The sequence below is a fragment of the Homo sapiens genome, chromosome 4, assembly GCF_000001405.40.
Source record: "Homo sapiens chromosome 4, GRCh38.p14 Primary Assembly".
Classification (NCBI taxonomy): Eukaryota; Metazoa; Chordata; class Mammalia; order Primates; family Hominidae; genus Homo; species Homo sapiens.
Genome location: NC_000004.12, coordinates 75,963,340 through 75,979,535, shown reverse-complemented (window position 1 = coordinate 75,979,535; position 16,196 = coordinate 75,963,340). Strand labels below are relative to the sequence as shown.

Sequence of the window (16,196 nt, the reverse complement as noted above, 5' to 3'; positions counted from 1 at the left end):
TGCAGTGAGCCGAGATCGCGCCATTGCACTCCAGCCTCTGTCTCAAAAAAAAAAAATAATAATAATAATAGAGATTTCCTTTACTAGGAGATAAAGGATTGCGTCTGTATAGTTAGCATTGCTCTTTAGAGGAAGCATTGAACACACTGGAAGAAGCTCTTTTTAATTGGTTATTGGGATAACCAACAATTCTTATCAGCCACTGGGCTATCTTTCTACCTGGTGTATTTGCTATTTTTCCAAGACTTTTTGAATCATTCCCAAGATTTTGTTCACTCTGTCCTGCTTACACAGATAGAAACATTGTATTTTTTTTGGAAGAAATAAAATATCCATATATAGTAATTCTTACCTACTTAGTCAAATCAATAAAAGTCAAGTTATATGTATTTCATTGACATTATAACTACCTTTTTATGTACTTTAAAACTTTTTTTTAGTATTATTATTTTAATTACTTTATGTTCAGATTGTCACCACCTTGCCAGGGGAAGCTTCTTAGTCCTTTTAGCAATTTCCCTGAATTTTTTTTTTTTTTTTTTTTTTTTTTTTTCTGAGACAGGGTCTGTCACTCAGCTGCCCAGGCTGGAGTACAGTGGTACGATCTTAGCTCACCGCAGCCTCAAGCTTCTGGGCTCAAGCAGTCCTCCCACCTCAGCGTGCCAAGTAGCTAGGACCACAAGGTGTGTGCCACCACACCCAGCTAATTTTTTTTTTTTTTGTGTAGAGACAAGGTCTCACTACATTGCCCAGGCTGGTCTTGAACTCCTGGCCTCAAGTGATTCTCCCACCTCAGCCTCCCAAAGTGCTGAGATTATGGGTGTGGGCCACCATGCCCAGCCTTGCCCTTGTTTTTGAAAGCATCCTTGAATTCTGGCAGAAATAGTTCCAAATTCATTCTTACCGTTTTTCCTGCCCCAAGACTTGGAATCAACTATTCTTCAAGGATTGTATTTCATCTAATGAAGGGTAACACAAAATTTGGGTGATAGGGCTACATGTAAGAGTTGGTGGTAAGCAAGAGTGCCACAGCTGCTAGGCGCATCAGCTCATGCCTGTAATCCCAGCTACTTAGGAGGCTGAAGTAGGAGCATCATTTGAGAAGTTTCCAGGAGCTTGAAACCAGCCTAGGCAACATAATGAGACTCTATCTCTTAAAAATAGAAAAAAAAAAAAAAATAGCTGGGTACCTACAGTCCTGGCTAATCAGGAGGCTGAAGCAGGATCACTTGAGCTCAAGAGTTCAAGACTAGCCTAGGCAATATAGCGAGACCCGTCTCAAAAAAAAAAAAAAAAAAAGGCGGGGGGCAGGCATGCAACAACTGCTGTTGAGCCATTCTTAGTGCTGATGGTACTTCAGAAGAATGCCTCGTAAGGTCATAAACTCTCATTGATTATTCCAATTTAGTGTATTATGTTGTTATCCCACCTGTCTTTATGGATTCAGGGTTTTGCCGTATGATGACACTACAAAGAGACCTTACTTGACCTCCCTGTGGCCCTCCCTCAGTCACTGTTGATCAATTACATAACCCTGTTTTACTTCCTTCATGACACTTATTTTCTTAGATCCTCCTTTTTATATGCTTACTTGGCTTGTCTGTCCTCCGTTCTGCTCTATCCCCAGTGTAAGCTCCATGAAGGCAGAGACTGACTATTCTGAATCCTACAATAGTGTCTAGTTAGTAAAAGACATTAAGGTCTTGGGACATATACGCTGTATTTTCTCACCTTGTTAACTTTACCATTGTCTTATGGTATGTTTTTTTCCTTCCCGAGACATTTTGCAAAGCTTTGATCTTGCTGAGAAATAAGAATCTCATCAATCCATCAAGCCTGCTAGAACTCTTCTTTGAACTTTTTCGTTGCCATGATAAACTTCTGCGAAAGGTAAAGGGCAAAACAAATATTTCCCTGCATCTTCCTTGAGGCGACATAAAATTTTGTTGTCTCTTGAATTATCGATGCTTTACATTGTTAATAATAACTTTAACAGGAAAAAGCAACCATTGTGTGCATGCTATATGGTGTTAATAGCCATATTTATTGAGTGCATACTTTGTGCCAGGCACCATTCTCAGAGCTTTGTGTATTTACTCATTTACTCACAAAGCCCTATGAGAGAGGGATCCTCATTATTATTATTCTTACTTTGCAGATGAAAGGGCTGAGGTTAAAGAGAGATAGAGTAACTTGCCCACTCTCACACTGCTTCTTAGTGGTGGGATTGGATATAAGCCCAGGCTCTGGTTCCAGAACCCAAGCCTTTTACTACTGCACCATACTGGCTGGCTAAATCAGGACATTGGTACTCACAGCTATAACTGACCCACTCCCCCACAAAAAACTTTTTTGTTGTTATTAACATTTTCCCATGATTTTGCATTTGCTTATATAAGACTAGAAGCTGAAGATTTATGAAAGAAATTTAAGATGGAGAAACTTGGCTGGACACTGTGGCTCACACCTACAATACCAGCATTTTGGGAGGCTGAGGTGGGAGGATCACTTGAGTCCAGGAGTTTGAGACCAGCCTGGGCAACACAGCAAGACCACTGCTGTATTTAAAGAAAAAAAGGAAAGAAAAATTTAAGTTTACATTCATTAATTTAAAATTTTTTTCAAAGTATTAAGAGACTACCACTGTTTGATTTTAGCAATTGTACTTCTTGGTCTAATTTGTGGAATAAAAGTGGTCCATGGGAGCATGGTGTGGGCACCAGTGATATATGCATTCACAGTATTTTCCTGCATGCAGTTAGGTGCTTGGTAAATTGGAGCATTTTTTTTTTAATAACACTTTTATTGAGATATAATTTATGTAAAATTCATCCACTTAAAGTGTACAATTCAGTGTTTTTTAGTGTATTCACAGCGTGGTACAACCATCACTGCAAACAATTTTTGAACATTTTGTCACCCCCAAAAGAAACTCTATTCCAATTAGTAGTTAATCCTGTTCCTCATCCCTTTTAGCTCTAGGTAATCACCAGTCTACTTTGGGTCACTATAGATTTGTGTGTTTTGGAAATTTTATATAAGTGGAATCATAACAATATGTGGTCTTTAGTGACTAGATTCTTTCACTTAGCATAATGTTTCCAAGATTCATTCATGTTGTAGCACGTATCAGTACTTTATTCCTTTTTGTTGCCAAATAATATTCCATTGTATGGATATACCACATTTTGTTTATCCATTCATCAGTTAGTGGAAATTTAAGTTATTTCCACTTTTTGGCCACTATGAATAAGGCTGCTATGAATGTTTGTGTGAACACTGATGTTTTCATTTTCTAGGATATATACCTAGGAGAATTGTGCCGTATTACATTAAACTCCATGTTTAACTTCTTGAGGACAACTTTGCTTTGCTTTGTAGTTGCTTTTTTGTTTGTTTGCTTGGTTTGGGTTTCTTTTGGGATAGAATGAAAAATAGGTAAAATTAAGTCATCCTGTACATTCATACTGTTCTCCAAATTTAGCAAGGTTAAAAATGTTGGTTAGGTTTAATGTATATATTTTTGTTTCTTTTCCTCAGACTTTATACACACATATTGTGACTGATATCAAGAATATAAATGCAAAACACAAGAACAATAAAGTGAATGTAGTAAGTACTCTTCTGTCTTCCATGTTTGCAGCATTGTACCATCAGTGCATTAAGTCTTCTTTCTCCTCCTTTTCTGCAGGTATTGCAAAATTTCATGTACACCATGTTAAGAGATAGCAATGCAACCGCAGCCAAGATGTCTTTAGATGTAATGATTGAACTCTACAGAAGGAACATCTGGTAGTGTATATATATTTGTCTCTTGAGAAGTAGACTCTTTTTTCATTTGTAATTAATACAGAGCACATATACAAATACTTTTCTTGAGCTTGAGCTCTTTAATATACTTATGTCATAGATTTAAGTTGGAAGTAAAAATAGAGGCAATTCAAATGACTAATGACATTGGTTATCATTTCTTGAGCAGCTACTGAGGTCGGGCACTTTGACATGACCTCACTTAGAACAACTTGAGAACAGAAGATGTAGCTTATCTGGAATTATCCCCATTTTATAAGTAATGACATGGAAGTTCTTAGAGTTAGTAAAAGTTTAGCTATTAAGAGGCAGAGCTGAAATTCAGACCCAGATCTAACTGACTCCAAAATCTGTGCTCTCTCTTCTGCCGCTCTGAAGATTTTCAAGTCAATTCATCCTATTTATATAAAATATCATGCTTCGTACACTTCAGTTTGTTGATACAGTGTCCCTAACTCATTTCTTTTGCTTTTCTTATTGACTAACATTTTTTTACTATAAAAGTAATATTCATTACAGCAGAAAATTTGGAGAAATTTAAAAAGTGGTTTTAATCAATTACTGTTAGTATTTATGGTATTTCCACCCAGTCTTTTTTGTTTAATGTGAATTTTTAAATATGGTTGAAATTTTTCTGTATTACAGTTTTTATTTTTTTTAATTTTTATTTATTTATTAATTTTTTTTGAGAAAGTCTTGCTCTGTCACCAGGCTGGAGTGCAGTGGCATGATCTTGGCTCACTGCAACCTCTGTCTCCTGGGTTCCAGCGATTCCCCTGCCTCAGCCTCCCGAGTAGCTGGGACTACAGGCATGCACCACCATGCTCGGCTAATTTTTTTTGTATTTTAGTAGAGACGGGGTTTCACCATGTTGGCCAGGATGGTCTCAATCTCCTGACATCGTGATCCACCCGCTTCGGCCTCCCAAAGTGCTGGGATTACAGGCGTGAGCCACTGCGCCCGGCCTATATATTATAGTTTTTAAATTCTCGATTATTTTTGTTTGTTTGTTTTTTTGAGACAAAGTCTTGCTCTGTTGCCCAGGCTGGAGTGCAATGGTGTGATCTTGGCTCACTGCAACCTCCGCCTCCTGGGTTCAAGCAGTTCTCGTGCCTCAGCCTCCCAAGTAGCTGGAATTACAGGCACATGCCCAGCTAATTTTTTGTATTTTGTGTAGAGATGGGGTTTCACTATGTTGATCAGGCTGGACCGGAACTCTTGGCCTCCAGTGATCTGCCTGCCTTGGCCCTCCAAAGTGCTGGGATTACAGGAATGAGCCACTGTCCCCGATCTTCTCAGTTGTTGTTTTTTTTTTTTTTTTTTGCACTTGACTAGCTTCCTACGTCATTAAAAATTCTTTAAATAGTCTGTCTTAATGGCTGCAAATTTTGTCGTAAGTCTGGGCTAAAATCTGATGAAATGTTTTACCTGTGGTTAAGTAATTTAGCAACTCGTATCTTTTTAAAATATTACAACTGGGAATTCTAGTACGTCACAAACATTTGTTATATCATTTATTTTGTGCCATTGTCTGTGCTATGAAATACAGTAGAATGAAAATTTACTTCAAAGCATTCATTGTCTTCCCCCAGGAATGATGCAAAAACTGTCAATGTTATCACAACTGCATGTTTCTCTAAGGTCACCAAGGTGAGCACCTATAGGGCTGTGTGTAAGCTCTGTCTGTGGATGGTCTGCTTCTGCATGCAGTTAGAAGAAAGCATCACTCAGCATAAACTGCATGCCTGCACACCAGGCATGCAGTTAGAAGTAAGCATCACTCAGCATAAACTGCATGCCTGCACACCAGGCATGCAGTGATGTGCAGGCATGCAGTTTATGTTAAGTGATGCTTTCTTTGTTCCTATACTGCTTTCCTGGGTCATCTGAACTTTAAAAGAGTCAATAGAATTATGAGTTTTTAAATTGCTATGTAATAAATGATAGCCTCAGTGGTTTTTTACTGTTTTCTCCTGTGATTCTTGACTTCCGTTGGGCTTCGGCACTGCTAAAAGAAATTTAAGGTCAATGTTTGACTTTTGTCTGTTAGAAGAACTGCAATGTCACTTTTCTTATAGGGGATGTAGAAATTCTCGACAGTCTTGAAGGATAACTATATAGAGCCTAGCAGTTTTTATCTAGTTTTTAAAATTATTTATTAGAGAAATAACATAAAACAACTTTTAATTAAGAAAAAATGAACAAAAATCCCACCACTCTTTGAATTTGTTCTTCAGATCTTAGTTCATGCACATGTATAAAGCATACTCAAAAGGATTTATTCTTTATTTTAAGCTGAATCAAGTAGCTGACTTTTTTCTCATTGGTGTTTAGATATTAGTTGCCGCTTTGACATTCTTTCTTGGGAAAGATGAAGATGAAAAACAGGACAGTGACTCCGAATCTGAGGTTAGTTTAATCATAGCTGCTTCTGAATCTTACCTTTTATTATTGCTCTGAGTACACATTGTAAAGTCTATGACTGCTGAAGTTAGAAAGAAACTTAGATGACACCTTTGCCCTGTTATTGAATTCTGCCATGCTATTTTACTCTACTTGGAATTTGTCACTTGTATTCAGTAAGATTATCTTGGTTATATAATTAATAAAACAGATTTATTCAACCTTGATCTTAGTTCTAAAGTTATACCTATATCTCACTATGTAAATTTAGGATGAAAATTGTCACCAACATTTTTTTTTTTAAGACGGAGTCTCGCTCTGTTGCCCAGGCTGGAGGGCAGTGGTGTGGTCTCAGCTCACTGCAAGCTCTGCCTCCCGGGTTCATGCCGTTCTCCTGCCTCAGCCTCCCGAGTAGCTGGGACTACAGGCACCCGCCACCACGCCTGGCTAATTTTTTGTATTTTTGGTAGAGATGGGGTTTCACCGTGTTAGCCAGGATGGTCTTGATCTCCTGACCTCACGATCCACCCGCCTCGGCCTCCCAAAGTGCTGGGATAACAGACGTGAGCCACCGTACCTGGCCATCACCAGCATGTTTTTGAGGAAAAAAAAAAAATCAAGATTCATGATGGCATAAAATATTAAAATAAGAATTTCTAAAAAAAAAAAAAAATTATCCTTCCCCATTTTAGTGTTTTGGTAACCAAAGTACTGGAATATGTGATAACGTCTTTTAAACAGTATATGACTAATACATTTTATTGTAAATGGCAACCTAAATAACAAAAAGAGAGAAACTCTCTAAAAGCAAATGATACTTATTTCAGAATAGGGCAGTGGGAATACATATGCCATAGTAAACTATGTACATATTTGTAAAGGAAGACAACAGTCTTTGTTTGTGTGTTTTTTTTTTTTTTGGAGCCGCGGACCTTCACTGTGAGTATTACAGCTCTTAAAGATGGCACGGACCTAAAGAGTGAGCAGTAGCAAGGTTTACTGTGAAGAATGAAAGAACAAAGCTTCCACAGCATGGAAAGGGACCCAAGCGGGTTGTCAACAACAGTTTTTAAAGGAAAAATGAGGGCTGGGTGCAATGGCTCACACCTGTAATCCCAGCACTTTGGGAGGCCAAGGCGGGCAGATCACTTGAGGTCAGTAGTTCAAAACCATCCTGTCCAACATGGCAAAACCCGTCTCTACTAAAAATACAAGAATTAGCCAGACATGGTGGCGTGTGCCTGTAATCCCAGCTACTTGGGAGGCTGAGGTGGGAGTATCACTTTAACCTGGAAGGTGGAGGTTGTAGTGAGCTGAGATTGTGCCATAACTCTCCAGCCTGGGTGCCAGAATGAGACTCCATCTCAAAAAAAAAAAAAAAAATAGTGCTACAGTGAAAATCTTTGTATGTACCTGTTTGTGCACATGTGGGCATATTTTTTCCACCTAATTTTCTTTTTTCCTGTTTTTTGAGACAGGCTGGAGTGCAGTGGCGTGATCTCAGCTCACTGTAACTTCCCCCTTCTGGGCTCAAGTGATGCTCCTGCCTCAGCCTCCTGAGTAGCTGGGATTACAGGTGTGCACCACCAAGCCCAGCTAAGTATTTGTATTTTTAGTAGAGACACAGTTTTGCTATGTTGGCCAGGCTGGTCTCAAGCTCCTGGCCTCAAGTGATCTACCCACCTTGGCCTCCCAAAGCGCTGGGATTACAGACGTGAGCCACTGCGCCCAGTCTAAAAGTAGTATTCATTTTTAATAGCTGTGTGCAAAGAGTATAAGAACGAAGAAGTGGCTGAAAGGTTTACTCTTTCATTCTATGCAGATTTTCCTTGTTTACAATTTTACAAAGTAATTTCTTCTTTAGGATGATGGACCAACAGCAAGAGACCTGCTAGTACAATATGCTACAGGGAAGAAAAGTTCCAAAAACAAGAAAAAGTTGGAAAAGGCAATGAAAGTGCTCAAGGTGGGACTTGTATCTGGAAAATGAGATAGGAGTGATTAGAGTGAAGAATATGTTGTCGTTAGCCAGAGCTTTTAAGAATTTAAAATCAGAGTACCATTTTCAGAATACTTAGAAATGTTAGATAAATTTTTAAGCACTAATATTTTAGATGAATAAATGTATTCAGCTCTAGCAAAATCAGTGACTTGGATAAATTAGTTTAATTAAATTCACTTTTTACTTGTTCTGATCAAGGTGGCTTGTATTATGGTATCTTTGCTAGACATGTTTTGTCAGAAGAGTACATAAATGCAGTACATTTCATATTTTTGTAATGATTATTTTGAAAGTCATTAATTTGGCCCTTGTGTGTTTATTAATTGTATTAGTTTGTTTTCACACTGCTATAAAGAACAACCTGAGGCTGGGTAATTTATAAAGGAAAGAGATTTCATTGACACACAGTTCTGCATGGTGGGGGAGGCCTCAGGAAACTTAAAATCATGGGGAAAGGCAAAGGGGAGGCAAGGCATGTCTTACATGGTGGCAGGAGAGAGCACTACAGGAGATCTGCCAAACACTTTTAAACCATCAGATCTTGTGAGAACTCACTATCACGAGAATAGCATGGGGAAAACTGCCCCTATGAGCCAATAACTTCCCACGAGGTCCCTCCCTCCAGGTCCTTCCCTCGACATGCAGGGATTACAGTTCGAGATGAAATTTGGGTGGGGACACAGAGCCAAACCATATTATTAATGTTTGCATTTCCAAATTCCTGTAAGTCTCATAGGTGCTAATGGTTGGAACACATTCCCCACATTTAATCTTAAAAGGCAAAAACCAACTTTAATTCTTCTAGTTGAAAAGGTTTTTAGAACAAAGTTTTTTTTCTTTTTAAAGAGTCTAATGGACTTATAACAGCCTTATTAGCACATTAAGTTCTAAGAGCATCATCACTGTAACTCAGACTGAAAATGTTTTTCCTCTCCCTTTCAGAAACAAAAAAAGAAGAAAAAACCAGAGGTGTTTAACTTTTCAGCCATTCACTTGATTCATGATCCCCAAGGTACGTTATTATGACGTCCGAGTTCCTTGTTGGCCTTATCTCTGCCTATTTTATTTCCTGCCTTTGGGGTTTTCAGGGAATATAAGATCCCTGGCATTTAGTAGATAGTCAATAAATGCTTAGTTGTTACTAGTTGGTTGTAACCTACAAAATTGTCATCTAAAGCAGTGATTCCCAGTCTATCGCAGAACAAGAAAAATATGGAAAAACGGATGTTTCTGAGATTCATGTTTTTAACAACACAATTGTAATAGGGCATTGTACTTGACCAAATAAACTGGCAGTCTTTTGTTGGTCCTTTTTTAAAAAAAAAAAAAAAACCTAGTCTGTGGAAACCAAAAATCTGGGAAACCTTGTTCGAGAACACTAGTTCTCAAACTAGGCCACACATTGGTCTCACCTGGCGAATTTATAAAAACTGTACTGATGCTTGGGTCCTGTTATCTCCAGAGAATCTAATTTAGTTGGTATGGGGTGTAGCTGGGCGTTGGGGCTCTCAGTACTCTAATGTATGGCAAGATTTGCTGACCCCTGCTCTAGATCAGTGTTTCTCAAACTTGCATGTAGATACAGATCACCTGGGGAGGTGGGGCCTGAGCTTCTGCATTTCCAATGAGCCTCCCCGGTGGACCAGCAGCTGCTGGGTCTGTGGACTACCCCTTTAAGAAGCAAGGATCTAGAGAGCTATTAAGTGAAGCGAGCACCTGTCAAACAGTCACTCTAGATGTTGATGCTAAAAAACTTGGGAATTATTAAGACTTAACTTTGGGCACCATTACATATATTGACATATTCACCTGTTTGTCAGTCTATTCACTGATCTAACTATTGTCTTTTCCTACGCCTGTTACATAAATGTCACATAGACCATAGACTCACAATGTACTTCTTTCATCCTCTCCTTGCCAGATTTTGCGGAAAAACTACTAAAGCAGCTTGAGTGCTGTAAGGAGAGGTTTGAAGTGAAGATGATGCTCATGAACCTTATCTCCAGATTGGTGGGAATTCATGAGGTTTGAATTATATTATGTTTCTCTTGGTGAATATTTGAAGTAGAATTTACCATGGTAAAAGAAAAGCCATTAGGTAGAGCAGTGGCTTAATTTTATCCCTCATACATTTAAACACATAAAATTTACAGAAGAGTAACATCTCTGAAAATAACTATTTTTATCACTTCATTTTCTTTGCAGTAATGTGGATGTTAATTTGTACATATATTCCATTTATGGACAGGCTATTTTATTCTCTGCTTTTTTTTTTTTTTTTTTTTTTTTTGAGACAGAGTCTCCCTCTATTGCCCAGGCTGGAGTGCAGTGGCGCAATCTCGGCTCACTGCAACCTCCACCTCCTGGGTTCAAGTGAGTCTCCTGCCTCAGCCTCCCAAGTAGCTGGGACACAGGCGCATGCCACCACACCTGGCTAGTTTTTTTGTATTTTTAGTAGAGACGGGGTTTCACCATATTGGCCAGGCTGGTCTCAAACTCCTGACCTCATGATCTGACCACCTTGGCCTCCCAAAGTGCTGGGATTATAGGCATGAGCCACCGCACCTGGCCTGTTCTGCTTTTTTACTTTCTTTTTGTTCACTTTGTTACGCATACACATTTTCTTGAGCCAATATAATGCACATATTTTAATTGACTTACTACATCTCACTGTTTGTTTAACTCTTCTTGGCTTTCCTGACTTCCAGATCCCTCTAGTAGGAAATTGTCATGTTTACAAATGTTAGTTGCAAGAGTTTCTCAGTGGTATATATATGGGAACTTTACACATACTGTTAGACTAGATGCCATTGTAGAAAAAGAGATACCCAGAAATTTAAGCCATGAAGAAATGACCATTAAGGTTTTTCCTTATCATTTTGATCTCGTGACTGGTGCTGCTCTGAACATCCATTTAAAAAAACCAAAAGAAAAGAAAAGAAAAACACTTTTCAAACAATATAGACATATATCACGTTGAAAATGAAAGTACACATGAGTGAAAGTAATTGTTCCCTTTCTCTGAGAAAAACCTGTTAACATTTTGCTGACTACATTGCTTTTTCTCCATGGCTGTAGTCCCAGTGTAGGATCAATTCTTGTTACATTTGTGCAGCAATTTCATTCAGACTGAGTTTGAGCTCTACAGGAAAGAAAAAGTGATTTGTGATTTAAGCGTGGTTTGAGGGAAATGATACTGGAGTTTCACAACTGACTACAATTGAACATCCATCATTATGTTCAACCAAAGTCTTCCCTGCAACTTCTCAGTGGCCCATCCTACTTTTGCTCTGTGGCTAAAATAGAAAAAATTAGTTTATTCCCACCTAACTGATATACCTTGAAAAAGACCAGTTTATTTCCAGTTTCTCTTCTTGAAATTAAACATTACCATTTCCTTAATAACCCTGGTCACCTTTGTTTAGGTGGACTTCAGAGTGTTAACGTTTTCCCTCTGAATTATGGTGCACAGAGTAACTCCTTCCATGTGGTTGGACCCAACTCCTTCCACGTGGTTGGACTGGTATACAAGAATATAACCAGGAGTGAGCTTTGCTGATTAAATTATACTCGGTGCTATTCAGATTTGAATTCCGATCTTGTCTGTTGTTTTGGAGCCTTGGTATCAATGCTGTTCCTTCCTATAATCCCCTCTCCTTAGAACACTAAAAAGTTAGTTTCTGCAGCCACACCAGTTTTAAGAGTAGAAGAATGTTACATTTTGTTTACCTTTCCTTCCTCTAGTTCATTCTGCATATACTTGCTTCCTCCTTTACATAATAAGGATAGCAGCATAGCCTCATTTGAGAGAATTCCTAGCCTTGGTTAATATAGCATATTGAATCATCCTAGGGCATGATTGCTTACTGAGAAAAAAACAAAAGTGTTCTGCAATTAGTTGAGCTTGGTGATATGTTTGCATTGAGAAGAAATGGAACTCCATAGTGTCAGCTGCATCAGTATTAAAGTCGGTTTTCTCTCCACAGCTTTTCCTCTTCAATTTCTATCCCTTTTTGCAAAGGTTTCTGCAGCCCCACCAAAGAGGTAAGCTGCCACTTGCCATGTTTCTTTGGTGGCCTTGGTAATAGAATAAACATGCAAAGTCTTTTGTTCTGGAATCACTAAAGACAGGAGTGCAGTGTGCTCTACATTAGAGATGTGAAGAGAAGCCCTTGTTTTCTTTCTAGAGTTTGCTATGGGTTTGTCGTTACCCTCAACTTTAAGAAACTATTGTTTTTTTAAAACAACAACAACTGCCGGGCACAGTGGCTCAGGCCTGTAATCCCAGCACTTTGGGAGGCCAAGATGGGTGGATTACCTGAGGTCAGGAGTTCAAGACCAGCCTGGCCAACATGGTGAAACTTCATCTGTACTAAAAATACAAAAATTAGCCGGATGTGGTGTCGGGCACCTGTAATCCCAGCTACTCAGGAGGCTGAGACAGAATCGCTTGAACCCAGGAGGCGAAGGTTGCTGTGAGCCGAGATTGTGCCCTTGCACTCCAGCCTGGGTGACAGAGCAAAACTCTGTCTCAAAAAGAAAAGAAAAGAAAACAACAACAACAAATTGGTTTCTCAAAGCAAGTCTTCTTGTAATACTGTAAATACTCATGGAAAATTCTTTTTTAAAAAATTGACGTTTTATTGCATCTTCATAATAGATATTAAGATTTGATCTCACTGCTCACATTGACCTTGCATGCATTCTCAATGAAAAACAACACAAAAGCAGGAAAGAAGAGATGATTGTTCTTGTCTTTGAACCTGAACCAAAGTAGGAAGGAAACTAACATTTATTCAGTATCTAACATGGACCAAGCACTGTGCTAAGTGCCTTACATACGTCATTTTGTCTAATCCTCACATTAATCTTGTGAGGTATACAAAGAGAGGGAAAAAAAAGACTAGAGTCACTCAGCAAATAAATGGAAAATCAGGATTCACCTCACTTCTTTTGCCAGTGGCCTTGTTTGTTACCTATGCTATGCTGCCCCTTTGAAAAGAGACAGTGTGTGTGTGTGTGTGTGTGTGTGTGTGTGTGTGTGTGTGTGTGTATGCATTCATTCAGCAAGTATTTATTTAATGATTTTTATGCCAGGCACTGCATTAAGACAGTACGAATTCCACAGTAAACGTAAAACAAGGTCCTTACCCTCATGGCTTACATCTGGAGGCAGATGTAGATGTGCTATATATAATATGTCCAGGTAAAGATAAGTGTTTTGAAGGAAAAGGAAGCAGGATAAGGACAATAGGGAGTGTCGGGACGGGTTCTGTTTTACATTGTGTGGTCAGGAGAGACTTTTTGATAAGGCAGCTATTGAGTAGGGACCTGAAGAAAGTGAGGGGGTAAGCCAAGCAGATATCTGGGGATTGAGTGTTCCAGGTGGAATACGCAGCAATACCATTTAGACCAGAATGAGCTTGCCATGTTTGCTGTGGTCCTCAGAGGCAGGGTGATACACTGACCATGACCTTTCTGTTCTCTTATGTTTTCAGAAGTAACCAAGATCCTTCTGTTTGCTGCACAAGCATCTCATCACCTAGTACCCCCAGAGGTGAGAACCTGTAACCTGACTTCTGGACCTAGGGCATGGATGACAGTGTTACTGTTAGGTACTTCAGGGTCTATCGGGGGAACCTGCCCCCGATAATTCAACGTGGGTTTTTTTCTATTTCTTGTCAGATGGTCTGAGAAATGAAGGGAAAGAGTACAAAAGAGAGAAATTTTAAAGCTGGGCGTCCAGGGGAGACATCACATGTCGGCAGGTTCTGTGATGCCCCACAAGCTCCAAACCAGCAAGGTTTTATTAGTGATTTTCGAAAGGGGAGGGAGTGTAAGAATAGAGTGTGGGTCACAGAGATCACATGCTTCACAAGGTAATAAAATATTACAAGGCAAATGGAGGCAGGACGAGATCACAGGACCAGGGCGAAATTAAAATTGCTAATGAAGTTTCGGGCACGCATTGTCATTGATAACATCTTATCAGGAGACAGGGTTTGAGAGCAGACAGCCAGTCTGACCAAAATTTATTAGGCGGGAATTTCCTCATCCTAATAAGCCTGGGAGTGCCACGGGAGACCGGGGCTTATTTCATCCCTTATCTACAACCTTAAAAGACAGATGTCCCTAGAGCGGCCATTTCAGAGACCTACCTCTAGGAACACATTCTCTTTCTCAGGGCTGTTCCTTGCTTAGAAAAAGAATTCAGCAATATTTCTCCTATTTGCTTTTGAAAGAAGAGAAATATGGCTCTGTTCTGCCTGGCTCTCAGGCAGCCAGACCTAATGGTTATCTCCCTTGTTCCCTGAACATCGCTGTTACCCTGTTCTTTTTTCAAGATTTCATATTGTTTAAACAATTTGTGCAGTTAACACAATCATCACAGGGTCCTGAGGCTACATACATCCTCAGTTTATGAAGATGACGGGATTAAGAGATTAAAGACAGGCATAGGAAATCACAAGAGTATTGATTGGGGAAATGATACATGTCTATGAAATCTTCACAATTTATGTTCAGAGATTGCAGCAAAGACAGGCATAAGAAATTATTAATTTTGGGAACTAATAAATGTCCATGAAATCTTCACAATTTATGTTCTTCTGCCATGGCTTCAGCTGGTTCCTCCATTCGGGGTCTCTGACTTCCCACAACAAGGGTCATTTTTCCCACAAGGGTTACTGTCCCCCCTTCCCTCACCGTTTTCTTCTTTTAATAGATAGAAGAGACACTAACTCTTAAGGGGATCTACACAGAAGTTCAGTTGTACGTCTCATAAAAAGAAGTTTCTTTCAGACAAGTTGTTTAGAATTCTGATTTTCTTTAATAAGCAAATTTTGTATAACTAGGGGAGGTCAAGAATATTAGTAAATTTATAGAGTAATTCCTTTCTTTGATTTAGTCTGAGGATAGCCAAGAAAAACACTGAATTCCTAAGTGGAGTGTTTTCTTCTGTCTTCCTTAATCTTGATTACTTCCAATTCCTAAACTGAAGGTGGAAGGCTGGGTTTTCCACTATGAATAATCTATTGTCCTTTCATTCTTATGTGTTTGTGTATGCAGACATTTAATCAGCACCCATCTCTTTTTTGTTTCCAATTCAGATTATTCAATCATTGCTTATGACTGTGGCAAACAATTTTGTTACCGACAAGAACTCTGGAGAAGTCATGACAGTAGGGTATGTAGAATCTGGTTGGAGGCAGAAGATACATTGTTTAATGGACTAGATTTGCTATAAGTTACCAAGATGTAAGATTGTAGCTGGTAGTATCACCTCTATAAAATTGGTTTAAAATATATTTCAGTCTTTTTGGGAGGCTTGATAATTTTTTTATTGGTCAGAATTTTGAGAAGGGAGCCAGAGAAAAGATACTTTTCCTTCTAATTAGCATTTTTGTTTTTTAGCAGTTTTACTTTTACAGATGAATAATTGATTAGCAAACTAAGTGCTTTTCTTCTGATCTCCCACCGTAAACTTTGTACTGCTAATAAAATAAATATTTGGCTCCTAGTTCTGGAGCTGGGAAGTCCAAGGGCATGGCATTGGTGTCTGTCTGGCACCTGGTGGGGGCCTCGTTGCTGCATCATTGGCAGAAGGCACAAGGGGAAGAGAGCACAAGAGCCAACAGAGGGCCAAACTCACTTTTTTATAACTCACTGGTGATAAGGGACCTTCTCCCAAGATAACAACATTAGGCCTAATCACTTCTTAAGAGTCTCTCCTCTTTGAACTACAAACCACTGCTCAACAAAATAAAAGAGGATACCAACAAATGGAAGAACATTCCATGCTCATGGATAGGAAGAATCAATATCATGAAAATGGCCATACTGCCCAAGGTAATTTATAGATTCAATGCCATCCCCATCAAGCTACCAGTGGCTTTCTTCACAGAATTGGAAAAAACTACTTTAAAGTTCATATGGAACCAAAAAAGAGCCCACATTGCCAAGACAATCCTAAGCCAAAAGA

At 39.0% G+C, this 16,196-nt stretch overlaps 1 protein-coding gene across 5 annotated transcripts in view; it reads left to right on the top strand.

The window, feature by feature from the left end:
• SDAD1 (SDA1 domain containing 1) overlaps window positions 1–16,196 on the top strand; it is a 41,031-nt gene that overhangs the window by 11,410 nt on the left and 13,425 nt on the right. For 3 of the 5 annotated variants that reach the window (NM_018115.4, NM_001288984.2, XM_005263102.5), the window contains exons 4-14: window positions 1,780–1,890; window positions 3,541–3,612; window positions 3,692–3,792; window positions 5,403–5,460; window positions 6,145–6,219; window positions 8,078–8,179; window positions 9,158–9,227; window positions 10,137–10,240; window positions 12,202–12,259; window positions 13,714–13,772; window positions 15,325–15,401. In NM_018115.4, the coding sequence (NP_060585.2) occupies window positions 1,780–1,890; window positions 3,541–3,612; window positions 3,692–3,792; window positions 5,403–5,460; window positions 6,145–6,219; window positions 8,078–8,179; window positions 9,158–9,227; window positions 10,137–10,240; window positions 12,202–12,259; window positions 13,714–13,772; window positions 15,325–15,401 (887 nt within the window). Of the gene's footprint in view, window positions 1–1,779; window positions 1,891–3,540; window positions 3,613–3,691; window positions 3,793–5,402; window positions 5,461–6,144; window positions 6,220–8,077; window positions 8,180–9,157; window positions 9,228–10,136; window positions 10,241–12,201; window positions 12,260–13,713; window positions 13,773–15,324; window positions 15,402–16,196 lie in introns of those variants that run through there. The other 2 variants (NM_001288983.2, XM_047415888.1) reach the window with 2 other exon arrangements.